The sequence below is a fragment of the Homo sapiens genome, chromosome 15 (genome assembly GCF_000001405.40).
Source record: "Homo sapiens chromosome 15, GRCh38.p14 Primary Assembly".
Lineage (NCBI taxonomy): Eukaryota > Metazoa > Chordata > Mammalia > Primates > Hominidae > Homo > Homo sapiens.
Genome location: NC_000015.10, coordinates 40,283,117 through 40,308,000, shown reverse-complemented (window position 1 = coordinate 40,308,000; position 24,884 = coordinate 40,283,117). Strand labels below are relative to the sequence as shown.

Genomic DNA, 24,884 nt, shown 5'->3' with positions numbered 1-24,884 from the left:
GGGCTGGGGGTGGGGGCGGGGGCCTCCAGAAGAGGCGGGGGCTTCCTGCTTCAGCCTCCTTGGGCAGAAGCAGTGACCACAGGCCCCCATGGCAGGCAGGGCGGGTGGGAGGAGGGTGATTTACAAGGCAGATGGGCCTCTGGCTACAGCTCAGTCCTGCACTCAGCCAGGGCCACCCCAGGGGCTATAAGAGCAACTAGATTTCTGGAGCAGCTCGGGGATGGGTGCCATTTGAGCCCAGCTTGGCTCCCCCTCCTGGCTGGCCTCCTTCCTGCCCTTCTGCCTGCCTGTGTCTGCTGAGATTCTGCAAAGAGGAACGCTTGGCACCATGTCTCTGCTCAACCCTGTCCTGCTGCCCCCCAAGGTGAAGGCCTATCTGAGCCAAGGGGAGCGCTTCATCAAATGGGATGATGTAAGTGGGGCAGGGGCCTCAGCTGCTGGAGCACCAGGTGGTGGGGGCCGGGCTGCTACGGGGCTTTGCTTGGGTGGGAGGATTGGTTTATGTCTCCTAGGATCCAGGCGCCTGTGTGGTTTGGCCAGGCAGCTGACACCACTGCTTGGATAAACAAACCTGGGATTAAGGGTGTATGTCCCCAGCTAAAGGGCTAAGCCTTGGTTCTAGGTGTGAGAAGTGGGTGAGCTGCCTGGGTGGTCACTGGAGGTAGTTTATTTGGGTCTGCTTCTCTTCTCCTTCAAACCCCCAAGAGAAGAGGAGGAAAGTGCACCCCAGAGCTGAGGCAGGCTAGGAGGAGAGGTGAGCTCGTCCCCGCTCCCAGCACAGATGTCTTGCCCTTGCTCCGGCAGGGCGCTCAGACCCAGCTCCTTCACCCCCTCCACTGGGCATCATCCTGTCCAGGGAAGCCTTGCTCTCCCCTGCGCTGCTGTGGGGGCAGCCACAAAAGGCCCCTGGACCTAAGTGAGAACTAGAGGCTTCTGCTCCCAGGGAAGGAGCTGATTTGACTTCTGCTACCCCTTGCTGGGCTCAGCATTGCTCCCCGATGCAGGCCTGTCAGCAAGGGAAGGGGAAGACACTGCTGCACCCTGCAGCCCTCTCTCTGCTGTGTCTGTTCCTTCCTACACGGGGCTGCTCCCAGGCTCTGGTTCTCCTGGCCCCTGAAAATGTTACCTTAGGCCAGGGATTCTCTTAGGCTGGAGAGAACAATATGGAGATTCTCCTTCAGGGAGGGGAGGCTGCTGGGCTCGCCCAGTCTGAGAGTTAGAGTGCTGGGCTTGTCCCAGGAAGGGAAATGAAGGCTTGGTGGGGGAGGGAAGACAGCCCTTAGTGCTGACTTGTCCACCTGATGGGAGGTGGGATGAGGGGGTCTGGGTCTAGGCCCTTCGGGGCTGGGCTAGGCTAGGGGATCTCGCTGCCCATGACTATGGGTTGGGGCCCTGTGGTGAGATGCTTCCTGCTTCCCTAGGAGTGATGTGGGGTTGGTGTAGCATGGCAGTGGCATGGAGGTGACATGCCCCAGGAGCCTGTGGAATGAGGGAAGTGGCTCAGAATGAAAAGCGAAGTGGCCTCTCTCAGTTCCTCTGGGCAGTGTGTGTAACCTGACTGGGCAGAGGGTCACAGGGTGGCAGTGGAGGTCGGGGGTTGGTGGCCAGCGGAGACTGTCCTTCTTCCTAAGCTGGCACCTGTGTACCTGGCTGTTCCCTTCCCCTCTCCAAGGTAGGGCATTGGATGTTCTCTGGATCCTGACCTGCACAAGCAAGAATGTCCCAAGCCTATCCACAGGTCCATGCTGCTGTGAGACAGGGCTCTGCTTTCAGGCTGCTTTTGGCACAGTTAGTGGATGGCATGGGTGTGCTGTGCCATGTTGAATAAGCAGAATACATAGGATGTAAGCAAATCCCAACTTTATTTCATCTCCCATGGCCTCTTTACAATATATTTGGTAGGAGAAGCTCTCCCCCTGGCCATGGAAAGAAACTCTGCAAGGCCACAAGACATTATATTTACTCTCAGGTAACACAGTCCAGTGGTCACTTTTCATCACAAAATCCAGTCCGATGTCAGAAACTGGCTATAATCAAAACTCCAACCTTTATTTACACTGACATCTTCTACCCTTCTCCTTCTAGGAATGGTTTCAGGTAGGCTGCAGGCCCCCTGGAAAGGGCCTTGGTGGGATTCCCTGCTGGTCCTGCTCAAGGCCCCTCTAGGCATGAGCTATAGGGAGGGAGGTGGGAAAGGGGTAACCAAGTTCTATTTAAACAGGTGCTGTCATAAATTGGCTCATGCTTTCTGAGCCTGGCAGAAGCTTAAAGCTGATTCTTTCTCTGGAGGACATTTTTGAGGATTCTTGGGAGACCCACCCCTTCGAATGGGAACCTGTTGCTTGAAGTCCCCCCAGCATTTCTATTTTAGGGGTCACTCACAACTATGTCTTCAGCCCCTTCTTACCACCTTCAGCTTCCTGTGGCTTTAGGCCCTTTGCCCCCACTCTCCCATGGGCCCACCCTGGACCCCAGCAAATACCCATGCATCCATTGTCCCAAGGGTGCAGGCTTGTCCAACAGGCCAGCACCCCCTGCTCTGCCTCACACAGTTAGCTCGCTGTAGTCCACTTGGTCTCCTGGGCAGGAGTCCGACCTCTGTCTGTTATGCCTACAACTTCAAGGATCACAGGGGCCTGTTGTGGGGTGGGGGGAAAGGGGAGGGAGAGCATTAGGACAAATACCTAATGCATGCGAGGCTTAAAACCTAGATGACAGGTTGACAGGTGCAGCAAACCACCATGGCACATGTATACTATGTAACAAACCCACACATTCTGCACATGTATCCCAGAACTTAAGGTAAAAAAAAAAAAAAAAAAAAAGAGATCACAAAAGCTCTCTAAGTAGAGTTGAAACCCCTCACTAGGCTTAAGGTGGGGGATCAGGCACTCCAACTCTCCCTTGGGGAGGTAAGGGAATGGAGCTCCCAACACAGCTTTCTTAAAATTGGCTTCTCCACAAAAATTTTCCCTTTTCCCTGTACTCTAACCACCTCTGATCTGAGAACATTTTTTGGATCATTCACCTTGTAAATGCTGCATTTGGTCTGTTTTAGTATACGGCAACTATTGTGCCTTGCTGGAAACCTTAATTTTAATATCTTGTTATGTACACATACAAAGACCGTTAAACTAAAAGGTAGCCTATGTGCTCTGTCAGTGAGTGGAACAGGACTTTAGAAGGTGAGTTCATTCATTCATTCATTCATTCATTTGCTCATTCAGCAAACACCACATTCAAGTGCCAAGCACCAAGCACCAAGCTCAAGGTCTAGCACAGGCTTGTTGTCCTGGAGTCCATGAGTCCCTGGGGATTTCCTAGGTGGGCTTGTAGGTCTGTGACTCACATCCCCCCGGTTACTGTAGCACATTTCAGGAAGGGTTTTCAGAAGTTGGGGGGCTTGGGTTGTCCTTGAAGTTATTTCAAGCAGAGGAGATTTGGGCACTTAGGTTTGGAGGTGGGAAGGCTTGGTATCTTTATGGGACAGTTGAATGGACAGGGTAGGAGGTGTTCATGGAGGGAAGAAGGGGCATATGGGAGGTTAGGTTGCATCTGGATTGTGCAGGGCCTTGGATGCTGGTGCAGGAGTTTGGGCTCTTGGCTCTCGCTGTGTCAATCTCTCCTGGGTGGCAGTAGGGAGTCTCGCTCTATGAGATGAGGTAGGGGCCAAGATCCTCTTTAGGGTCTAGAGGGAGAATGTCTATTTGGGCTTTAGAGGGGAAAACCCTTCTCTTCCAGAAATGGCATCCCCAATCCTCTGTCCCTCCTGGTGCTTAGCTCTAGACAACAAAAGGAAATGCCTTCAGATTTCTGGGATGGGCACCTCCTGGGAAGATAATGAGCTCTGAAACCCCTGGCCTGGACCAGGGAGGCTTGGCCTGAGGTCTTGGAACAGAGTGCTGGCTCCTTCTCTCTGCAGGAAACTACAGTTGCCTCTCCAGTTATCCTCCGTGTGGATCCTAAGGGCTACTACTTATACTGGACGTATCAAAGTAAGGTGAGAAAACCCTTGTGTGCCATGGCCCTGGACTCCTGCTTATCATTGAGGCCAGACAGCCCCCTGGCTGCACCAAGGTGGAGGCATGGATGCTGGGGAGTACAGAATGGCCTGGAAGGGTGGCTCCAGAGGCTCCCCTGTAGGCAGGGGCTCTTTGCTCTGGAAAGGAGGATGCAGTCACTCCAACCTGTGGCTACCCAAATGTTCCATCCTTAGCATCCCTTGGGGAGAGAGAGAGACAGGCGAAAGCACTGCTGCTGAAGGCTGATGCTCTGCCTGTGGCTGTGGGTTGACTTGGGGCTCTGGGAGATGAGAGATAGGCCCCAGCCTCTGGGCAGGAGGACGGGAAGGGGAAGCTGGGAAGGGTCCAGGATGGTGGAGGAGACACTGCAGGCTCCAGCTCCCTGCCAGGGAGGAATGGACAGAGGGAAAGGGAGGAGGATCTGCATGAATAGAGAGAACCTGGGCCATAGGAAGGGAAGTTTGGGTCCAGCTGGCCCTGGGCAGCCTGGCATCTAGAGAGAGGTGTTGGCCAAGATTTGAAGGGTGTGGAAGCTCCCTTCTCCCTATTGCTCATTCTTGACCTGGACTTTTTGTCCCACATCCCTTCTTTGCTCCCACCGGGATCCGCACCCTGCCCCCAGGAGATGGAGTTTCTGGATATCACCAGCATCCGGGATACTCGCTTTGGGAAGTTTGCCAAGATGCCCAAGGTAGGTGTGTCCAGTAGCAGCCCAGGCTCAAGCACAGCTACTAGCTCCATGGGGCAAGGGCAGGGGTCCCTGTGCGGGTGGGAAGCCTGACTTCTGAAGCACGGGGAATGGTTCCTTGGCTGGGCAGCAAGGACCGTGGCTGGAAGCCAAGGAAGGGGAGCGGCAGCTCCTGGGCTCGCCTGGGCTCTGAGCTTCAGAACTGCGCACAGTGAGCTGAGATGGCAGGGATCTGGGAGGAGGGGTCACCTCCTGCCCCTAAAGCACCCCAGTCTGTCTGGGAGGGGTGGCTTACACCCCCACCCCCGGACTAGTTTGCCTATATTTGCCTAATGCTGGTAGGAAAATTGGAGGAAGGGATTGGTGGGAAGCGGGGTTTCCTGAGACTGGGAGCTAAGAATCTATCTTCAAACAAAAGTGGCAACCAACACACACAGGACTCCCAGGCCGGCCTCCCCGCCTGCCCGCCATCTTGGCTAACCTTTTCCTCAGGGCCTCTCCTTCCCATCCCAGCCGCTGGAGTCAGGGACAGGAAGATGCTAAGGCCTGTGGTTCCTGGGATGGGGATGGGGTTCTGCCCAGTGGGCCATAGCCCAAGTGGCTGAGGGGAGGGCCAGAGAGAGCCACACTGGGCAGGGAGGGAGCACACCTCCATCCTAACCATACCACCACGTGCTGCAGAGCCAGAAGCTCCGGGACGTCTTCAACATGGACTTTCCTGATAACAGTTTCCTGCTGAAGACACTCACGGTGGTGTCCGGCCCGGACATGGTGGACCTCACCTTCCACAACTTCGTCTCCTACAAGGAGAACGTGGGCAAGGTGTGCCAGGGAGCACTGGGCCTGGGTCTGGGCCCCTGGGATAGCCTGGACTTCCTGAGAGACACAGGCCTGGGCGGGGGTGCTCAGGAGCCTGACCGCTGCTCTCTGTGGTCCTGCAGGCCTGGGCTGAGGACGTACTGGCCCTAGTCAAACATCCGCTGACGGCCAACGCCTCCCGCAGCACCTTCCTGGACAAGATGTAAGTGCCCTCTGCCTGGCCTGAGCCCTGGTGCTGAGCATGCCAGCCCTGGGCCTTGACGGGCTGCTTTCTGCCCCCAGCCTTGTGAAGCTCAAGATGCAGCTCAACTCTGAAGGGAAGATTCCGGTGAAGAAGTGAGCCCCCCAACCCCTCCCCAGGCTTCCAGGGGCTCCCCAAAGCCTTTCTTTCTCAGGCCTGACTCCTCTCTGTACCTGGTACCTTTCTCTGCCCCTTCAGCTTTTTCCAGATGTTTCCTGCTGACCGCAAGCGGGTGGAAGCTGCTCTCAGTGCCTGCCACCTCCCCAAAGGCAAAGTGAGTGGATCTGCACCCCTGCCCATCCCCCAGCATTCTTGTCCCCACCAGAAAGCAACTTGGCCAGGAATGGTGGGTGGGGGAGCAGAGGTGACATCACAGCCCCAGCCAAGAGCCTGGAGAGCCAATCAACCCTGGAGCTGCTGGTTACTGACACTAGGCACAGGGGTGGAGCCAGGGCAAGGGAGTGAGACCCTGAGCTCCAAGCAGGTTTGTCTGTATCCCCTACCCTGGGTGGTGGGGGCGCTGGGGCTGTGGTTGATGGACTGTGTTCAGGGCAGGCAGCAGAAACGGCATGCATTCCCAGTCTAGTGTTGGGAATGGGAGCTGAGCGTGAATGTTTTCAGCCTGGAGGAGCGAGATAAGGTCGGCAGTGGCAGGCGGCAGTCTGCAGGGATCTGGAAGTCTGCAGCGTGTCGAGGGAGAGGAACTGAACCAAAGGCGGAAGCTGCCAAGATGCAGACTTCTGCTCTGTACAGAAAAGCATTTTTCCCTGTCTTTTTAGTTAAATAATTAATTTTTAATTACAAGTTGTAAGCAGGGTCACCCCATGAAGCAACTTGTGTGAATTACAAAAAGGAGCCCTCTGGGCTGATATGGCCCTGAGCTAGGCTTCAAGCCTGGCCAATGGAGCGAATCTCAGCCCCTGTCCCTGCTTGGCCAGTGCTCTTGTGTGGGTCCCAGCCTATACCCCATGGAGTATTTTCTCCTGGTAAGAATTTGGAACGTTATAAATAAATAAAACCACGACCCCCATTGATCACCTGCCCACATGAATCCCAGGAGGAGCATTTACCCCACAGCCACAGCTCTGCAGAGTTGGTGACTCCTTGATGCAGTCAGTCACAGGGATCCAAATGTGGCGTTGGGGAGAGGTAGGAATGGGCTCCTGCGGCTCCCCTACAGCCAGCAACACTTACCTGTGGTCAGCACACATCCACCCTCCCTCTCTCCTGCTGCCTGAGCTCCTCCCTTGGCTAAGTCCTCCTTATCTATCTGCTTTCCTTGTGTCTCAGTAGAGGCTACTGACCCAACTTTGCTTGGAGCTGAAGCTCCAGAGACAGGGAGGGGTTTGGGGAGATCCAGTTAGACTCTCCTGCTCAGACCCTCTGCTCCAAACTAAGACTGATGTTGGCCTTCCAGTGTGATTCTGAAAGACATTTAATGTTTTTTTTGGGGGGGGAAGGAATGCAAAGGTGCAGAATCCCTGAATACCACAAATGTACTTTTCATTTCTATTTCTATAGATTTGCCTATTCTGGTGGTAAAGTAAATGAAATCATAAATATATGCTTTTCGATGTCAGGCTGTATTCATTTCTCATAATGTTTTCAAGGTTTATCCATGTTGTAGCATGCATGAGTACTTCATTCCTTTTTACCACCTAATAATATTCCATTGTATGGATATACCACATTTTGTTCATCTGTTTATCAGTTGGTAGATGTTTGGGTTTTTTGTACTTTTTGGTTATGAATATTCATGTACATGATTTTGTGTGAACATGTGTAAATTCTCTTGGGTATATACCCAGGGGTGGAATTGTTGGGTCATGTGGTCACTCTATATTTAACAATTTGAGAAACCGCCAAACTGTTTTCTAAAGTGAGAGCATTGTGTAGGGATTTATTTATTTATTTTTGAGACAGAGTCTCACTCTGTTGCCCGGGCTGGAGTGCAGTGGCGTGATCTCAGTTCACTGCAACCTCTGCCTCCCAGGTTCAAGCAATTCTCCTGCCTCAGCCTCCCAAGTAGCTGGGATTACAAGCATGTGCCACCATGCTGGGCTAATTTTTGTATTTTTAGTAGAGATGGGGTTTCACCATGTTGGCCAGGCTGGTCTCGAACTCCTGACCTCAGGTGATCCACCCTCCTCGGCCTCCCAAAGTGCTGTGTGGGGTTTTAGGTTAGTCACATCCCGCTGACACTTGTGATTGTCTGTTTTTTGTTTTAGCCATCCTAGTGGGAGTGGTATCTCATTGTGGTTTTGATTTGCATGTCTCTAACTACAAATTATATTGAGCACCTTTTCTGTGTTTATTAGTCACTTATATATCTTCTTTGGAGAAATACCTGTCCAAATCCATTGTCCATCTTTCAACTGGGTTGTCTTTTTGTTGACTTATCTCTTATCGGATATCTGATTTGCAAATATTTTATCCCATTCTGTGGGTTACCTTTTCACTTTCTTGATGGTGTCCTTTGAAGCACAAAAGTTTTTAATTTTGATGACGTTTAATTTATCTTTCTTTGTCCCGGTGCTTTTGGTGTCTCCAAATATTATTGTTGAATTGTCCTCCTTTCAATTCTATCAGTTTTTGTTTTATATATTATGGGGTTCTGTTGTTAGGTGCATATATGTTTATATTCAAATTGCTTCTTTTTGAATATTTGTCCTCCACTTAAAAAAGATAGCCTACTAGCCTGGCAAGCAGCATCATTTCTTCTGACCTCTTTTCTACCTCATTCTGGTTATTCTTAGTTCCGATCCTGCCCCAGCCAATGGAATAGCCACTGTACAAAATCAGGGTCAGAGCAAACCAGCTAAGCATGCTCTCTGCTCAGCAACCAGGGCCTTGAGAAGTGGATGCTTGGGTGTCCTTGAAGTTCTTCTGTCTGCCTTGAGCCCGCCTTCTGACCAGGTCCCCTTGACCAGGGCTGGGCCGAGTTTGTGGTTCTTAGCTCTGAGAAGGTGAGGGCAGGGGCAATAAGGTTACTATGCCCCTAGAATGACGCCATCAATCCTGAGGACTTCCCAGAACCTGTCTACAAGAGTTTCCTCATGAGCCTCTGTCCTCGGCCAGAAATAGATGAGATCTTCACTTCTTAGTGAGTTTCTTGGGTTGTGCTGGTCATGGGAAAAGGGTGGTGGCTAACAATCCCCTCCTCCCACCTGCCATGCCGGGAGTCAGGAGGCTTCACTGGACAAGGGGGTTGTCTAAGCCTCCAGGCCCAAGGGATATGGACCTGTGCTCTTCTCTCTGGCTTGAAGCCATGCTAAGGCCAAACCCTACATGACGAAGGAGCACCTGACCAAATTCATCAACCAGAAACAGCGGGACTCCCGGCTTAACTCCCTGCTGTTCCCGCCAGCACGGCCTGACCAGGTGCAGGGCCTCATCGACAAGTATGAGCCCAGTGGCATCAATGCACAGAGGGGTGAGGACTAAGGGAACCCCTTGTCCCCTGTGGTCCTGTCCTGCCTTGGCAGCGGGGTTGTAGCCTGACAGCTATCTCCTGTCCCCCAGGCCAGCTGTCACCTGAAGGCATGGTCTGGTTTCTCTGTGGGCCAGAGAACAGCGTGCTGGCCCAGGACAAGCTGCTGCTCCACCACGACATGACGCAGCCACTCAATCATTACTTCATCAACTCGTCCCACAACACCTACCTGACAGGTGGGCCCTGATAACATTGGTGCCAACCTCTGCTTTCACAGGGGTTCCCTGCATCCTCCACAGGGGTTGCCCACATGCTGCTGGCCCTGAGAATAACACAGACCATGATGGAGTGGCGGTAGGGGGAGAGCTGGGCTGCCTTTGGGTGATGCCCTCACCTCTTCCCCATCCTCTGGCTCAGCCGGCCAGTTCTCAGGCCTCTCCTCGGCTGAGATGTACCGCCAGGTGCTGCTCTCTGGCTGCCGTTGCGTGGAGCTAGACTGCTGGAAGGGGAAACCCCCTGACGAGGAGCCCATTATCACCCATGGCTTCACCATGACCACAGACATCTTCTTCAAAGTGAGACCCTGGGCACAGAGGCTGGTGGCCGTGGCAGTAGGGAAGGGCTCTGGGCCAGAAGCTTTGAGGGGTTGGAGGGCTGAAGCTAGAGAAGATGAATGGCTGGAAGGCCTCAGACCATTGGGGACCAGCAGGGATTGGGGGCCAATGGCGGCCATGCAGTTATATGTGTGTATTGAAACTAGGCAGGGGGGAAAAGTGCTATCACGAGACAGGCAGTCGGAACGCTGACCTTCTGTTCATGGAGTCTCCTTCTCCTCCAGGAAGCAATTGAGGCTATTGCAGAAAGCGCCTTTAAGACCTCCCCCTATCCCATCATCCTGTCGTTTGAGAACCATGTGGACTCGTGCGTATCCAGGCCCATTCAGCCACATTCTCACCCAGCCCCCAGTCTCCTGTCTGCAACTGTCCTCCCCACAACTGCCCCAGCCTCTAACCATTGCCTACAGCTTCTCCCACGTCTCAGTATAATCACCCTAAGGCCTCATGTTCTCCTGCTCGAGTCCCAGCCTCCCTGACCTCCTGGCCCCTGATCTGGGTCATCAAGGGCACAAAAGGATGCATAATAGGGTTGGTGCTGAGCGGCTGAACCCCATCCCCGCTTTTGCTCCCCGCAGACCCCGCCAGCAGGCTAAGATGGCTGAGTATTGCCGGACGATCTTTGGGGATATGCTGCTCACAGAGCCCCTGGAAAAGTTCCCAGTGAGTGGGCTTCGCTGTGGGACATTTGAGCCTTGGGCCTGGGAACCTGGGGCAGGGTGAGAACCAGGTTAGGGAGGGAGACACTCCCAGAGGATGCTAGGGTTCACTTGGTTAGATGCGGGTCTGGGATCCTGTCACCTTCCGTGTGTCAGGCACTGGGCTGGGCTTCAGGGTATGCTAGTGACAAAGACACAGTCACTGCCCTCAGGTGTATTACCCTCTAGTGAGGAGACAGACAAGTAACCAGGCCATTACAATCCAGTGGTTGTTATGGGAGCACCTGGGGAGTTCTGATCTGGTCTTGGGGATCAGGGAAGGCTTCCTGGAGGAAGTGATGGACAGGGCTCCTAGAGTAGCCTGTTAGGTCCTCCTGGTGCAGATGGCCTTGGGCCAGGGTCCCATACTCAGGGACAGCTACAACAAGCACAAGATGAGCCGCATTTACTCCAAGGGATAAGCTGGATTTATCTCAGTGAGAATGGGGATGATAAGCAGTAGTGAGAGGCAGGTCAAGAGGAGTGGGGGAGGCCGAGGGAGCATGCCTGGTAATAAGGAGCTCAGGCTATGCCATGAAGGTGAGAAGATGGTGCTGACCTGCTCTCCACTCCATAGCTAAAACCAGGTGTCCCCCTGCCCAGCCCTGAGGATCTCAGGGGCAAGATCCTCATCAAGAACAAGAAGAACCAGTTTTCTGGCCCCACCTCCTCCAGTAAGGATACTGGTGGGGAGGCTGAGGGCAGCAGCCCACCCAGTGCCCCTGCAGGTGAGGGCACAGGTGAGTCGGGGAGGACTATGGTGGGGGGTATTAGGAGCATCTGGAACAGGAGAGGGGCTGGACCTGGAGGAGCCATGCAGGAGCCAGTGCCGACAGAGCTGTATGTGGCAGTGTGGGCTGGCGAGGAAGGGACTGAGCTGGAGGAGGAGGAGGTGGAAGAGGAAGAGGAGGAGGAGTCAGGAAACCTGGATGAAGAAGAGATTAAGAAGATGCAGTCGGATGAGGTGTGTGGGGGTAGCCCCAGGCCCCTCTGTGTCATCCTCCACCGTTAAGCCCCCTGGATGGGGGCCTTGGGCCCCATTCCTGGGCTCTGCACCATCCTCCTCTTCTTTGCCCTCCCCTCTTCTCCTTAGGGCACAGCGGGCCTGGAAGTGACGGCTTATGAGGAGATGTCCAGCCTAGTCAATTACATCCAGCCCACCAAGTTCGTCTCCTTTGAGTTCTCTGCCCGTAAGTTAGCATGAGTAACTTACGGGTGGGTAAGAAGAAGGGGGATCTCCCCCTTCCTTGGACTTGGGGCCCTGCCTATAAATATCCAGCCACGGAGTCAGGCAAAGGGCTTGCTTAAGTGGCAGTGGCTCCCAGTTTCTCTAGTGAGGAACTTGGCACCAAACAGAATGCTCTGGAGTGTGTCGGTGACAGGCTGGGCGTTATGACAGGCCACCTTGGCTGGGATGGCCTGGGGCTCCTGCAGCTGCCTGCAGGCTCTGTGGCTCCCAGGGCTGAACTGTGCTGTGGGCTGGCCCAAGCCCAGAAGCCCTGGCCGTGGGACATGAGACTTCCTGAGAGGGAGTGGAGGCAGAGAAAACCACCAGAGCATACTGCCCCTTTGCATGCTTCCCCTTTCATGGACAGCCCGGCTGTTTACCTGTATCTTCTCTGGACACAAGCACAGTACGTTGCTCTCACTCTCTGCATGTCCCATGCACGAGCACCTCTTTCTGTCTCCTCCTGTGCACAGCTGGACTTCTGTAGCACTAACTTCTCATCCCTGAACCCACAGCCTGCATCCCCACCTGGGTACACTCATGGCATGTACTACAGTTAATGTGCCCCTCTCCCCAGACGTGTTCAGCCATAGCTTACATACCTCACTCCCTGTGCACATCAAAGCATGTGTTCACATTTCATGTGTGCACAGCATGTTACTGACCCCCTAGGCTCAGCCTGGCATGTTCCCCATACCCTCTGTGCCCATCTATGGCATGTGGGTCTCACTCTCCACATCCATGGCACACACCCCACCCCTGTGCATACACACTGAGAACACCCCTCACCCCAGCAGGCACTGTGATTCATACACTTCTCCCAGAGGTTGGTCCCTAAACCTCAGGTCTCAGTGGAAATGCTGGGGTGGAGGCATCTCTATAGGCCAGAGGGAGCTGCCCCAAAGGGGAGGCCAAGACTGAGGGAGGGGACAGCCTGATAAAACTCCTCCCCTCCCTTTCTCCCCTATATAGAAAAGAACCGAAGTTATGTCATCTCGTCCTTCACAGAGCTCAAGGCATATGACCTGCTCTCCAAGGCCTCGGTGCAGTTTGTGGAGTATCCTTGAGGTTTCAGTGGCCAGGGTCCTTGGCTTGGGTGGGGAGCCAGAGGAGGGCCTGGGGACAGGGCCCCCAGGGTAAGCTGTTAGGTTCTCCTGGTGCAGATGGCCTTGGCTAGGGTCCTAAACTCAGGGACAGCTACAACAAGCGCCAGATGAGCCGCATTTACCCCAAGGGAACCCGCATGGACTCCTCCAACTACATGCCCCAGATGTTCTGGAATGCTGGATGCCAGATGGTTGCCCTCAACTTCCAGACGATGGGTGAGGGCATTCCCAGGCCCCTAAGAATCCTTCCCTGGTCCCTGCGCCCCCCACCTTTACATCCTTGAGGGGTCTTTGGAACAGGCTGGGGAGTCCTGCTGTTAGTGTAGACTCTGGGAGCATGCCCAGGTGCGTGAGAATTTGGGGGTAGAAATGCATTAGCCTGTGCCCATGTGCCTGCGCATACATGATGGATGTAAAGATGCCAGGCTGCCGGCGTGGGTTCTGGCCGCTCCACCCAGGTATGTCTGTGGGCCACCTGCCCCAGCTGCCCCAGCTCCCACCACAGTCCCTCAGCCTGGCTGTGGCTTTCCTCCTTGCTGCCTCCAGGCTGTGGACCCTGCCTAAGAGAGGAGACACTGCAAGGAACCAGACTGGGACAGGAGAAGCCCTCATCCTCACGGTCCACCCAACCTCCCCATTCACCAGACAGCAAAGGCTGGGAATGGAGGAAATGGAGACTGGGCACAGCCCCAGGGCTGGGCCTTCCTCACTGAGTGTCCTTGTCCCTCCAGACTTGCCCATGCAGCAGAACATGGCAGTATTTGAGTTCAACGGGCAGAGCGGCTACCTCCTCAAGCATGAGTTCATGCGCCGGCCGGACAAGCAGTTCAACCCCTTCTCAGTGGACCGCATCGACGTGGTGGTGGCCACCACCCTTTCCATTACGGCAAGGCCCTGGGGCACACAAGTGGCCGGGAGGCTGAGGTCTTGAGTAGAAGGGCACAGGAGCCCACCCCTCACTCAACTCGCAACCCCCTCCCCTGATATCCTGGAAACTTCAGCCCCAGCCAGTTCCTGCAGTAGCAAGTTGCCTTGGAAACTGCCTCCTCCTCAGCACTGGAGGCTGCCACTTGGTCCCCATGGAAACCAACGGGAAGGGCTGAGGCTGGGGTGGGGGAGGGGAGGAAGAGTGGGCAGAGTGGGGCAGCCGGAGCCCCAGGTCCTGGGGGAAGGCATTGTTCCCTCTTTGGCTAGGGAGGGAGGTGGGAGGCCCACCTCTTCCCTTCATGCTAGAAGCACCCTGGTCCTCAGAGCTTAGCTGTAACCCGTGGGCTACACAGCCTCTCTACTCATGGCCAGAGCTGAGTGAGGTTCTTCATAACACCCAAGAACGAATGCTTCAGCTCTAGGCAGCCAGGGGCCCCAGATGCTTGGGGAAGAGCCTGGGTGGGGATTTGATGCTGGTTTTCCTGGGCCCCTACCCCCAGGTGATCTCTGGGCAGTTCCTGTCAGAACGCAGCGTGCGCACCTATGTAGAAGTGGAGCTGTTTGGCCTTCCTGGGGACCCCAAGAGGCGCTATCGAACTAAGCTGTCACCCAGTACTAACTCCATCAATCCTGTCTGGAAGGAGGAGCCCTTTGTCTTTGAGAAGGTGGGGGCCAGGGCATGGCAGGGCAGAGTCTGTCTAGTTCTTGGCCTCTACTTACAGACAAGAGGAAGTAAACAAGGCAGCTCCTTGACCTTCCTCCTCCTCCTCTTCCCATCCCTCACCCTGGGCCCTCCTGTTTCAAGAGTGCAAAACCCAAGTTTACAGAAGTTTACTTGGTAGGCAGAGTGTGTGTGTGTGAAGATTAGAGGCAGAAATGTGCACTCAGGGTTGAGGTTCCCATGGGAGTCTTTTGCCCCACTGGATACCCACTGGCAAAGCTGTCAAGGGCTATCTGTGCCAGGCCCCCTCAGCCTTGGGCTGCAAATCCAGCCCTCCTCCCCTGTGTGGAACCAGCCATGGCATGTGCTGTGGGGATGTCTTTGTATATGGCCTAGAGTGTGCCCTCTGTCTGTCCTCACCAAATCTGGTGACACTCACCATGTTCTCACACTGATGCTGAGACTTCTGGAGCCAGGGAGGGGGTCAGCTTGGCTCCTCTCTCCCCTCCCAGCCTGTCATGTCCCCAACTCTCCCCAGATCTTGATGCCTGAGCTGGCCTCCCTCAGAGTGGCTGTGATGGAGGAAGGCAACAAGTTTCTTGGACACCGCATCATCCCCATCAATGCCCTAAATTCTGGTAAGGAGTGGGGTCCTTCACTGTTCCAAGATCAGCAGCAGGAGCCTGTGCACAGGGTGGGGCAGCTTCTGGGAGGGGGCCTGGAGTGAGGCCTTACCTAAGCCCTCACATTGTAAGGAGTAGGGCAGAACAGTACCTCTCCAGGAACCTAAGAGAGGCGGGAACTCTGCCCACCTAACAGAATTGCTGTAATTTTCTGAAACGGCTGGGGCAGTTTCTCAAGTAGCTGACACTTATGGGCATTTAAAATTTGCTAAGGGCTTATAATACATTCTCACTTCATCCTCACAATAACCACATGAGTAGACACTCATCCCCTCTTCATAGATGAGTAAAGTCTCAGAGAGTTAAAGTAACCTGGCTGAAGTCACACAGCCAGGATGGTGCAGTGCCAGACTCAGACCCTTGGGTCCTAGGCTGTGTGTGCACAGTGCTGGCAGGAACGGGCTCTGGCTCACTGCCTACCCTGTCCTGTCTCACAGGGTACCACCACCTGTGCCTGCACAGTGAGAGCAACATGCCCCTCACCATGCCTGCGCTCTTCATCTTCCTGGAGATGAAGGACTACATACCTGGTGCTTGGGCAGGTAGGAGCCCATGGCATGCCAGGAGCCTCGGGGTGTCTGTTCCCCCTTCCTTCCCATCAAGCCAGCTTCCAGAGTTGGGGTGGGATCCAGATGGGGCATCCTGGAGTGGGTGAGGACAGGGGAGACTTCCAGCCACATCTCCATATACACTATGTTGTAATGTCCTGTGCACCCACCCAGATCTCACTGTGGCCCTCGCCAACCCCATTAAGTTCTTCAGTGCCCATGACACGAAGTCTGTGAAGCTCAAGGAGGCCATGGGAGGTCTGCCTGAGGTCTGTGTTGCCTGCACTGCTGCCAGGGGCTCACCAGAGATTAGCCCTATTTATGGGAGAGGCTGGGGAGAGGGCCGAGTCCCAGGCTCGGGGAGAGAGGGCTGTCAAGCCACCTTCCTGACCTGCTCTCCCTACACAGAAGCCCTTCCCACTGGCGAGTCCAGTTGCCAGCCAGGTCAATGGGGCGTTGGCCCCAACGAGCAATGGGTCACCAGGTATGAGCTTCGGTCCGCACACCTACTGGGGGCACCTCCACCTCTGCACCCACAGGCACTTCCCTTTAAAAAATTTCACCTAGGGAAAGTGCGGGGCAGGGGGCACATACTGCGACTCCCAGGGGGCGGTGTGGAGGAGGCGAACGGAGCCAAGGGGCCCCCCAGAGCACCTGACAGCCCAGCCCGTGGCTCTTGCAGCAGCCAGGGCCGGGGCCAGGGAAGAGGCTATGAAAGAAGCTGCGGGTAAGGCCTGCTGAGCCCGGTGATCTCGGGGATGAGCCTGGGGCGGGTCCGGGGCTCCTTGGGGGTTGGACGGGCAGGACGGCCTGGCCGGTGTTGCGCCTCACCCGGGCCTCCGCAGAGCCGCGGACCGCCAGCCTGGAGGAGCTCCGGGAGCTAAAGGGCGTGGTGAAGCTGCAGCGGCGGCACGAGAAGGAGCTGCGAGAGTTGGAGCGGCGCGGAGCGCGGCGCTGGGAGGAGCTGCTGCAGCGGGGCGCGGCGCAGCTGGCGGAGCTCGGGCCACCGGGCGTGGGGGGCGTCGGGGCCTGCAAGCTCGGTCCCGGCAAGGGCTCTCGCAAGAAGAGGTAAGGCTCGTGGCGGTGCCCTGCCCTCTGCAGCGCGGGTGGCGCAGGATCTCAGGGCCTGTCCCCACGTGGCCTCCCCAGGAGCCTGCCCCGCGAGGAGAGCGCCGGAGCCGCGCCGGGCGAGGGCCCTGAGGGCGTGGACGGGCGCGTGCGGGAGCTGAAAGACAGGCTGGAGCTGGAGCTGCTGCGGCAGGGCGAGGAGCAGTACGAGTGCGTTCTGAAGCGCAAGGAGCAGCACGTGGCCGAGGTGGCCGGGAGGGGCAGGGCGACAACCCCACCAGCCCCACCGACCCCACCCCCCATGGACCCCATTCGCCCCTCTCACCGACCCAACCCCCTCACCGACTCCCCTCCACCGACCCCCGCCCCCCGTACTCCCTCTGAACAACAAAGGGCTTCTCGCCAAGCTTACTTCCTCTCCCTGCAGCAAATCTCCAAAATGATGGAGCTGGCCAGAGAGAAACAGGCGGCAGAGCTGAAGGCCCTGAAGGAGACGTCGGAGAAGTACGACTGCCTCCCTCCCACACCTGCTTCGCCTCCCAGCAAGGGCTCAGCCGCACAAAACAGCTCCTTCATGCCTGTCTCTCTGCAGCGACACCAAAGAGATGAAGAAAAAGCTGGAGACAAAGAGACTGGAGCGGATCCAGGGCATGACCAAAGTCACCACAGACAAGATGGCCCAGGAGAGGTGAGCCCTGGAGGGGAGGCCCAGGGCTGGGCAGACCCCACTTCAGGTGGAAAGGGGCCTCTCTACAAATGGATCCTGACTCACTTCCCAAAGATGCATCTGTCCCCTGGCTCTCCAAAAAGCGGATCCCCCCTGTCACCTTTGATCAGAGTGTCCTCCTCAGACAAAACACGGAGGCCAACACTACATGGGCAGAGCTCTGGAGGCAGCCAAGCCTGCAGGGAGGGAGCTGAGGCCTTGGGATTGTAGCCTGTCCACTGTGGTGGCACTGTTTCCCACGGAAGGACAGTGTGTTTTGATGGGGAAATGGTTCCCTCAGAGGGCCCCAGGACTCCCAGTGGCCCCTACATACTCCTTGGGTCCCCACACCTGCCCCCAGCTGGTTCCTGCCCTATGTTGGATTTCTCATTTGCCTACATCCTGCGTAGACTTCATGTTACCCTACTCTCCCTAGGGGTTTTCTCCCTTTTCTAAAACTCCAATTACACCAACAGGTTGAAGAGAGAGATTAACAACTCCCACATCCAGGAAGTAGTGCAGGTGATCAAGCAGGTGTGTAAGGGCTGTGTCCTTCCTAAACACACACACACACACACACACACACACACTCTCTCTCTCTCTCTCTCTCTCTCTCTCTCTCTCTCTCTCTTCACAAGTAGGAAGGGGTGGCCCCAGGCCCTGACTTTGCCCTTAGGAGATGCACTGCCTAGCGCTGTCCATGCAGCTGGGGTGGCAGGGGACATCCTGGGGTTCTGGCCTGTGTATGGAGGTTGGGGTACCAGCCTGAAGGGATCTGTCTCTGGCCAGTTCTCATGTGTGGAAATGATATGGGCTAACTGGCCCATATCAGGGCCAGGGGAGGCTGGGACTGGCGAGGGTCAGGGGATGAAGAGGGAGTGAGGAAGCTTCCTGAGGTGCCAAGGAATAATGGACCTGAAGCTCCCCTAGGGATCATTAACCACAGAACACAGCTGCCACCTACTGGGTCCTGACCTGTGCCAGGCACTCTGCCAGGTGCCTCACATGAGCTGTCTTGTATAATCTTTTACAGTCCAGTGAGACAGGTGCTGCTATCCTTATCTTACAAATTTTAAAAACTACCTAATGTTAAGGAATTTGCCCAAAGTCTTACAACTAGTTAGCTGGGATTACAGCTGGATTCTGACCCAGCTTGCCTGTCTGTGTTGTCCTGATTCTCTGCCATCCACTCCCACCCAGATGACGGAGAACTTGGAGAGGCACCAGGAGAAGCTGGAGGAGAAGCAGGCGGCTTGCCTGGAACAGATACGGGAGATGGAAAAGCAGGTAACAGGTTCACTACTGGGACCCCCAGCAGAACTGAATGGGTTCCGGGTTGTAAAGGGGCCTTGCCCCAGGGAGCTGCCAGTGAGAGGGTAGGGGAAGGGGGCCATCATCCTTCACTGTGGGGTCCCGAGGCCCTTTCAAATGAGGCAGCTCTGCAGATCTCCGCCTGGTTAGGATCCCCTTTCCTGAGAGGCTCCTGATGGGCTCTACCACTCCCCCACCCTGCCTCTCACCCCAGTCTCCTGGGAGCTCCGAACATGGATATTGGGCATCTCCTGTTCCCACTGTCCAGGGAGCGAGGGTGGCCAGCAGGCCCCTCCTGAGCCAGGCAGGGGTCCTTGCTGTCTCCACAGTTCCAGAAGGAGGCGCTGGCAGAGTACGAGGCCAGGATGAAGGGTCTGGAGGCAGAGGTGAAGGAGTCGGTGAGGGCCTGCCTCAGGACCTGCTTTCCCTCCGAGGCCAAGGACAAGCCTGAGAGGGCCTGCGAGTGCCCCCCAGAGCTGTGTGAGCAGGACCCACTCATAGCAAAGGCAGATGCCCAGGAGAGCCGCCTCTGATGCCCCCATCCCACTGGGACATTTAGCAAGGAGGTTCAGCCCCTTCTCTGGGATGTGGTTCTATTCCCCCAGGAAAAAGGAGCCCCAGCCTTCTGAGGCTGTGGGAACCTGTGGCTGCCTTGGACGCTGCAGCCCCCTCCTCAACGGCCAGGCCAGAGTCTGAGACAGGACCCAGGCACCCTCACGGCAGGGCCTCTCTGGGGCCTAGAAGTCTTCTCAAGCTGACTTCCTACCTCCCCCTCCATCTCTAGATAAGTGTCATATATTTGTTGAGGGCAAAAGACTATGGACTGGAAGGCAGAAAGTGGGATCCTGGCCCCACTCTGCCTTTCCTATTGAGCAACCAGCTCTGGGCTCAGTTTCCTCACCTGGAGGGTTGGACCCACTCACCTCCACTCTAGCCCCGAACCCTCCTGCCCCAGGCTTCCAGGCCCCATCAGGCCTGCCCTGAGTTGGCCTTGTCCACTCCTTGAGGCAGATCCTGGCACTACCTCACAGCTCCCTGGGGACGGCCACTCCCTGGCTGAGGGCCCTCCCCTCCCCTCTGCCTGTCCGGAACGGGAGGCTGAAATGGAAAAGCTGCCTTGGCCCTGCTTGGCTGAGTCACAAGGGGCAGTGGGCTCTTGGGTGCTGTTCCACCCTGACCCTGGCTCACCCCTCTTCCTAGGCCTGGGGGCAGGCAGTTCCTACCATGTACCCCTCTCAGGCTGCCTGCCTGACAAGGTCAGCATCATTTGCTCTCCTGAATTTATGAGGTTTATTTATTTTTCTCTTTCCTACTCCTATTAAAGAACCTCGTCCCAGTGTTTCCTGCTTAAGCCTGGTCTCTATTCTACAGGTAGAAAATGGGGGCAGGGTAGTGGAGTGCCCCTGAAATGAAACGGGCTGGGGAAAAAAAAATCTCTTGGGAGCTGAACCCAGGGTGAGGTCCTTTCCAGAGTCCAGTGAAATGGCCCTGCCTCTGGACTTGAAGAGGATTCATTTCCCCTTCTGCTGGCCCTGATGCCACAATCACTGGAAAATTATGTCACCCCCTCTTCGCCCCCACACAGATGTGGCCCTTCATTGTCTCCACTCTCGGGGTTGGAGCAGAAGAGCTGAGTGCAAAGATGTCCCCTATTTTAGGGGGAGTTCCAAACTTTTAGGCAATCTAGGCCCCTTTAGGAAGACAGAGTGGTTGGATGCTCAGGACCCTATGGCAGCTATGGTTGACCTCAAAACTTGCTGTGGAGGGGCTTGTGGGCAGCCACTCACTGCACCGATGACATGATCCCAAATCCCAAATAGGGACAGGCACTGGCTTAGGAGGCAGAGGGGGATTGATTCTGGGAAGAGGTTGTTTTCTTATTAGAGTTACAGCACATGCCGTTAGCTGTGAGCACCTGTTCCTTTGGAAAGTAAACAGGTCCTCCTGCCCCCACCCTGCCATCCCATCCCTCTGGGAGTCTGACCTCTGGGATTCTACCAGGCCCTGGCTGTAGGGTGAGGTGAGGGGGCTGATCATTTACTGGGCTAAGGCCTAGCATTGATCAGCCTGCTCCCTACATCATTACAGACTGGATACGCTGGGGCAGACCACCTATACCCCAGGGTGGTGCCCTATGTTCAACCCTTCTGCCAGGCACTGGGCTGTAAAGGTGAGGATTCGGGCCTAGAGGAACTCACTGACCCAGGCATGTGCACGTAAGCCAGAGCCAGAGCCCAATGGAGCCCACTGGGCAGCCCCCAGATTTTGCTGATGACTGTACAGGAGAAGGAAAAGCTGCCTTCCCCTCACCTCTGGGCCAGGCCACGCAGAGTCTCTGGGCTCCCAGTCTGGAGCTGGGTAGCCCAGGAATGGGGAAGGCGATGCAATCCTGCCCCCGGAGAGGCCTCTGCATAGCCGACTGGGGCCTTCCCATGTGGCCAGGCCTAGATACCTGCCTCCCTGCTTTCCTCCCAAAAAGGCAAGGTGTCCCTTAGGCAAATGCCATCTCTGGGTCCTGGAGATGAATTAGTCTCTGGCTGCAGGGGATGTATAGAAGAAGAGTTGACGCCTTCCCTTGGGGTACTGGGGCAGGTGAAGGACACCTGGGTTCCATCACTGCTGTGTATCTATGGGACTGGGGCAAGGCTCCCTTCACGCATCATGCCTCAGTTTCACCTTTTGCACAAAGAGAAGGGTCCCTACCCCTTTCCCAATTCCATTGCTGACTCAGACTCGAGTCCCCTGCTGACTCACCCCGCCCCCTGCATCCCCTGAGCAGCCCTCTGGATCTCCCAGACACATGCCACCAGGCCCAACCCTGCCAAGCTGGTGCAACGTGACAGCGTGAGGGGGCTGGTGACACTTGAGGAAAGAAGGGGCCTGAGAGGGAGGCAGTTGCAGACAGAGTGGCAGACCACACTGAGGCATCTTGGGGAGGGAGCCCTTCTGCCAGCCTGGGGCCTGCTGGGAGGACAGGCCCAGCAGGTGGGACAGGAGGGGAGAGGAGGGGAGGTGAGTATGACGTGCCTGCCTGCCCCCTGCCTGCCTGGGCTCCATCTCCTGTCAGCCTTCAGCTCCCTAAGCGACAGCTTCTAATTCCGGCTGTTGGTGCCTCTGTGCTCTGCAGCAAAGTCTCAGCTTTTTTTCAGCTTTGCTGTTTCTTTTCTGTTCAGAACATACTGAGCCCATAGAGAAGTCAGAGCAAAGGCTCCAGGGCTCGAGACCTGGCACCACCACCCCCTTCCTGCCATGGGAACCAACTGCTCCTTCCAAAGGGTACCCAGCACAGCACTTTCTGCCCCAACTCTTCTTCCCTGGAACTGTCTCAATCCACCACGGAGGAACAGGAACAGAAATGAAGCTCAGTTGTCTCAGGGAGGAGGGGCTCTTCAGGACCAAGAAAGTGCCCATTCTGGGTTTCTGCTGCTTCTCTCCTCCACCTGGGGGGGTGTGAGTCATGGCTTGTCAGGCTGGTGGGCCACACACAGGTTCCAGGGGTACACCCTCCTCTGACCTTGGAAATAGAAGGGAAGAAAGCAATTTCCCTCACAGTGCTGAAAAGAGAAGTTGAGTCATAAAGGGAAGAAAAGCCTTTCTTCTGCTGAGTAAAGGAGAGCATTCCTGCCCAGTTACTGGGGGTGGAGAGTCTCTATCCATTCCTGGGGGCCACCCCAGAAGGGGGCCCTAGCTCTGGGGCGGGAGCAGCTTTGAGGGCTGCACTCTAAATAACTATGCAGCTCTAGAAAACAAAACAAAACAAAATAAAAAAAATGAAATAACTATGCAGCTCTTTCCCTGACACTTTCTAACTTGTTCTTGTGTAAAGCAGGCAGGGCTGGTATTTATCAGTCTCATTTTGCAGCTGAGAATATGCAGGCTTGGAGCCACACTGCTAGTAAATGCCTTCAAGCTGGGACTTAACGCTGATGTCAGATCTGTGGCCTTTTCATGACACCAGGAAAGAAAATTGGCAGATCCCTGACCAAAGGCTTAACAAATGCAAAAAGAGAAAAGGGGGGCTTCGTAGTGGATGCAGGTACACATCACACGCTCCTCACGTGACAGAGGGGAGTGGGAGCCTCTGCTCCATGGCCTGGGTGCCAAATTCAAGGTGGACATCCCCGGAGCCTGGGAGCTGGAGAGAGGCAAGGGGTTCAGGGTGCAGGGCCATGAGCCCACTTTGCCACGCCTATCTATGCCCAGTACCTTTCCCCAGGCATCTCCTACTCCAAAGCATCTGCTCAGACTGAGAACACCATCATTCTTCCCTTATTTCCTGTCTCTGATAGGAAGGGACCCCTTAAAGCAGCCCTCAATAGTGTCCCCTGAAGGTTTATCCTGCTTCCAAGCCTTTGCCTCCAGAACCCGTCTGGAATTACTTCCTTTTTTTTTTTTTTTTTTTTTTTTTTTTGACGGAGTCTCACTCTGTCTCCAGGCTGGAGTGCAGTGGCGTGATCTCGGCTCACTGCAACCTCTGCCTCCCAGGTTCAAGCAATTCTCCTGCGTCAGCCTCCCAAGTAGCAGGGACTACAGGCGCGTGCCACCGCGCCCAGCTAATTTTTGTATTTTTAGTAGAGACGGGGTTTCACCATGTTGGCCAGGATGGTCTCGATCCCTTGATCTCGTGATCCGCCCGCCTCGGCCTCCCAAAGTGCTGGGATTACAGGCGTGAGCCACTGCACCCGGCCTGGGATTCCTTCCTTCTTTCTTTTGCAGCCAGATCCCGCACATCCTTGAAGGCCTATCTTTAAAAGGCCCGAGAGCCCTCTCCTGCCCACAACTCCATCTTTTCATCCAAGGACTGTGTTGGTACGTATTTAGCAGAAGAATTCAGCCCTCAGGTGACAACGTCCATTTTTTAAGTCCCAGTGTTGTCTTCTTAAGAGGTGGAACGTCTCGCACCCAGAACCGAGATTCTGTCTCTCTCTTACCCGCTGCCGGCAACAAAATGTGCGGCTCATGAAAAGTCTCAGTAAATTCTGCAGCTGATAACTGCTTTACTCCTTACTTTACAAATATCCATTCCAACCCTACTCACACCCTCCCCACCACCCACACCCAGGCTCTGAGGCGCCCTAACTCTGCTCCGCCCAGGCCTGTGTATCATCCCCCCTCCTCCAGGACCGAGGGGGACCTGCTGGCCGGAGGGAGAGGAGATGCAGTGGTTTCTCCAAGCATCTTACGGAAAATGGAACTTGTGCTCGCCTCCTCTCTTTAGGGGTCAGCCAGTGGTCAGAGCCAGAGCCCTGTGGCCTGGGGGTTGTTTTGTGCTCAAGGGAGAAGCGAGGGGCAGGGAACCTCGAGTGGGTCCCTAGCTCTTTCCAGGGTGGCGGCGCCAGGGAACTTTTAACATGTCCGCGGCACTCCCGGGTCCTAAGGAGCCCCTCCCTGGTCTGGGCGTCTACACTCTGCCCGCTAGGCAGCCACCAGGAGCTGGCACGCGGGCGCGTTGTCGGGGTTGGAGACGTCTGAAATTGGAGAGCGCACTCGGACCCCACCCCTCGTTCCCAGGGAGCGTGTGCGGGTGGAACAATTGTGTGTGAGTGCGTGATTCTCTGCACTTCGAGTGGCAGTTCCCAGCCAGGCTGAGCGCCCCCAATCCGCGGCACGTATACCCCCTCCCCCAAATTACTCCTCATCCGCCTTTCGCTGCCACCCCTAGCTCGCGCGTGGTCCAGTTCTGCGCTCATGGGGTCCCAATTCCTTTCACCCTGGACCGATGGGGGCAGCTTTCAGTCTTCCCCGACGAGGCCGAGGTCCCGCCAGTTTCTAAGGAGCCGAGGGCACCGACTCGGTTGGGGGCGGAGGGCGGGGAGAGAAGACTGCGACTTTGGGATTGGCCCGGTTGGGTGCATGTGGCCCCCGGCGAGCAGCCCCCGCCCCCGCCCCGCAACCGCCGCCGCATTCCCAGGGGAGCGCGGAGGAGGAACCGCTCCCCTACTTCGTGGCCCACGAAGGGGTGGGGGTCAGGAGCGGTCTCCCCCGCCCCGTCCGTCTCTGCCCTGACGGCGCAGTCCGCTCCCAGGACAGCCATTGCCATGGAGACCCCCAAGGCTATAAAGTCAGGTATCTAGGCGGGCGGCAGCTCCCGCGCCGCTGAGCCCCCCAAGTAAGGAGCAAGCGCCCTGGCG

At 55.9% G+C, this 24,884-nt stretch overlaps 1 protein-coding gene across 31 annotated transcripts, besides 4 other annotated features; it reads left to right on the top strand.

Moving 5' to 3' along the window:
* Positions 66-23,745, top strand: PLCB2 (phospholipase C beta 2). Of its 31 annotated transcripts, none has more exons than XM_047432679.1 (33): positions 66-412; positions 3,923-4,000; positions 4,645-4,713; positions 5,392-5,532; positions 5,652-5,731; positions 5,812-5,865; positions 5,969-6,044; positions 8,773-8,873; positions 9,037-9,203; positions 9,293-9,439; positions 9,621-9,778; positions 10,042-10,124; positions 10,396-10,480; positions 11,093-11,255; positions 11,367-11,479; positions 11,609-11,705; positions 12,111-12,149; positions 12,716-12,800; positions 12,941-13,065; positions 13,581-13,735; positions 14,277-14,441; positions 14,976-15,075; positions 15,558-15,662; positions 15,843-15,937; positions 16,077-16,152; positions 16,351-16,395; positions 16,514-16,736; positions 16,818-16,983; positions 17,164-17,240; positions 17,329-17,424; positions 17,919-17,976; positions 18,643-18,729; positions 23,470-23,745. In XM_047432679.1, the coding sequence occupies exons 1-33, from the start codon at positions 329-331 to the stop codon at positions 23,488-23,490; spliced, it is 3,414 nt and encodes a 1,137-aa protein (XP_047288635.1). In that variant the 5' UTR covers positions 66-328; the 3' UTR covers positions 23,491-23,745. The 31 variants fall into 31 exon arrangements, 30 of the variants coding, with proteins under 30 accessions (XP_047288635.1, XP_016877808.1, XP_047288624.1 ...); XM_017022319.3 differs by lacking the exon at positions 23,470-23,745 and adding an exon at positions 21,927-22,533; XM_047432668.1 differs by lacking the exon at positions 23,470-23,745 and adding an exon at positions 19,062-20,092 and having other exon boundaries at positions 11,093-11,243.
* Positions 5,084-5,893: an enhancer, noted in NCBI's record as "H3K27ac-H3K4me1 hESC enhancer chr15:40594309-40595118 (GRCh37/hg19 assembly coordinates)". NCBI's record gives its function as "activates a minimal SCP1, AML or CMV promoter by ChIP-STARR-seq in primed H9 embryonic stem cells {active_cell/tissue: H9 hESC(primed)}" and the evidence as "EXISTENCE:reporter gene assay evidence [ECO:0000049][PMID:30033119]".
* Positions 12,136-12,185: an enhancer, noted in NCBI's record as "active region_9239". NCBI's record gives its function as "activates an Ori minimal core promoter by ATAC-STARR-seq in GM12878 lymphoblastoid cells {active_cell/tissue: GM12878}" and the evidence as "EXISTENCE:reporter gene assay evidence [ECO:0000049][PMID:35858748]".
* Positions 15,604-16,148: an enhancer, noted in NCBI's record as "H3K4me1 hESC enhancer chr15:40584054-40584598 (GRCh37/hg19 assembly coordinates)". NCBI's record gives its function as "activates a minimal SCP1, AML or CMV promoter by ChIP-STARR-seq in naive H9 embryonic stem cells {active_cell/tissue: H9 hESC(naive)}" and the evidence as "EXISTENCE:reporter gene assay evidence [ECO:0000049][PMID:30033119]".
* Positions 16,149-16,694: an enhancer, noted in NCBI's record as "H3K4me1 hESC enhancer chr15:40583508-40584053 (GRCh37/hg19 assembly coordinates)". NCBI's record gives its function as "activates a minimal SCP1, AML or CMV promoter by ChIP-STARR-seq in naive H9 embryonic stem cells {active_cell/tissue: H9 hESC(naive)}" and the evidence as "EXISTENCE:reporter gene assay evidence [ECO:0000049][PMID:30033119]".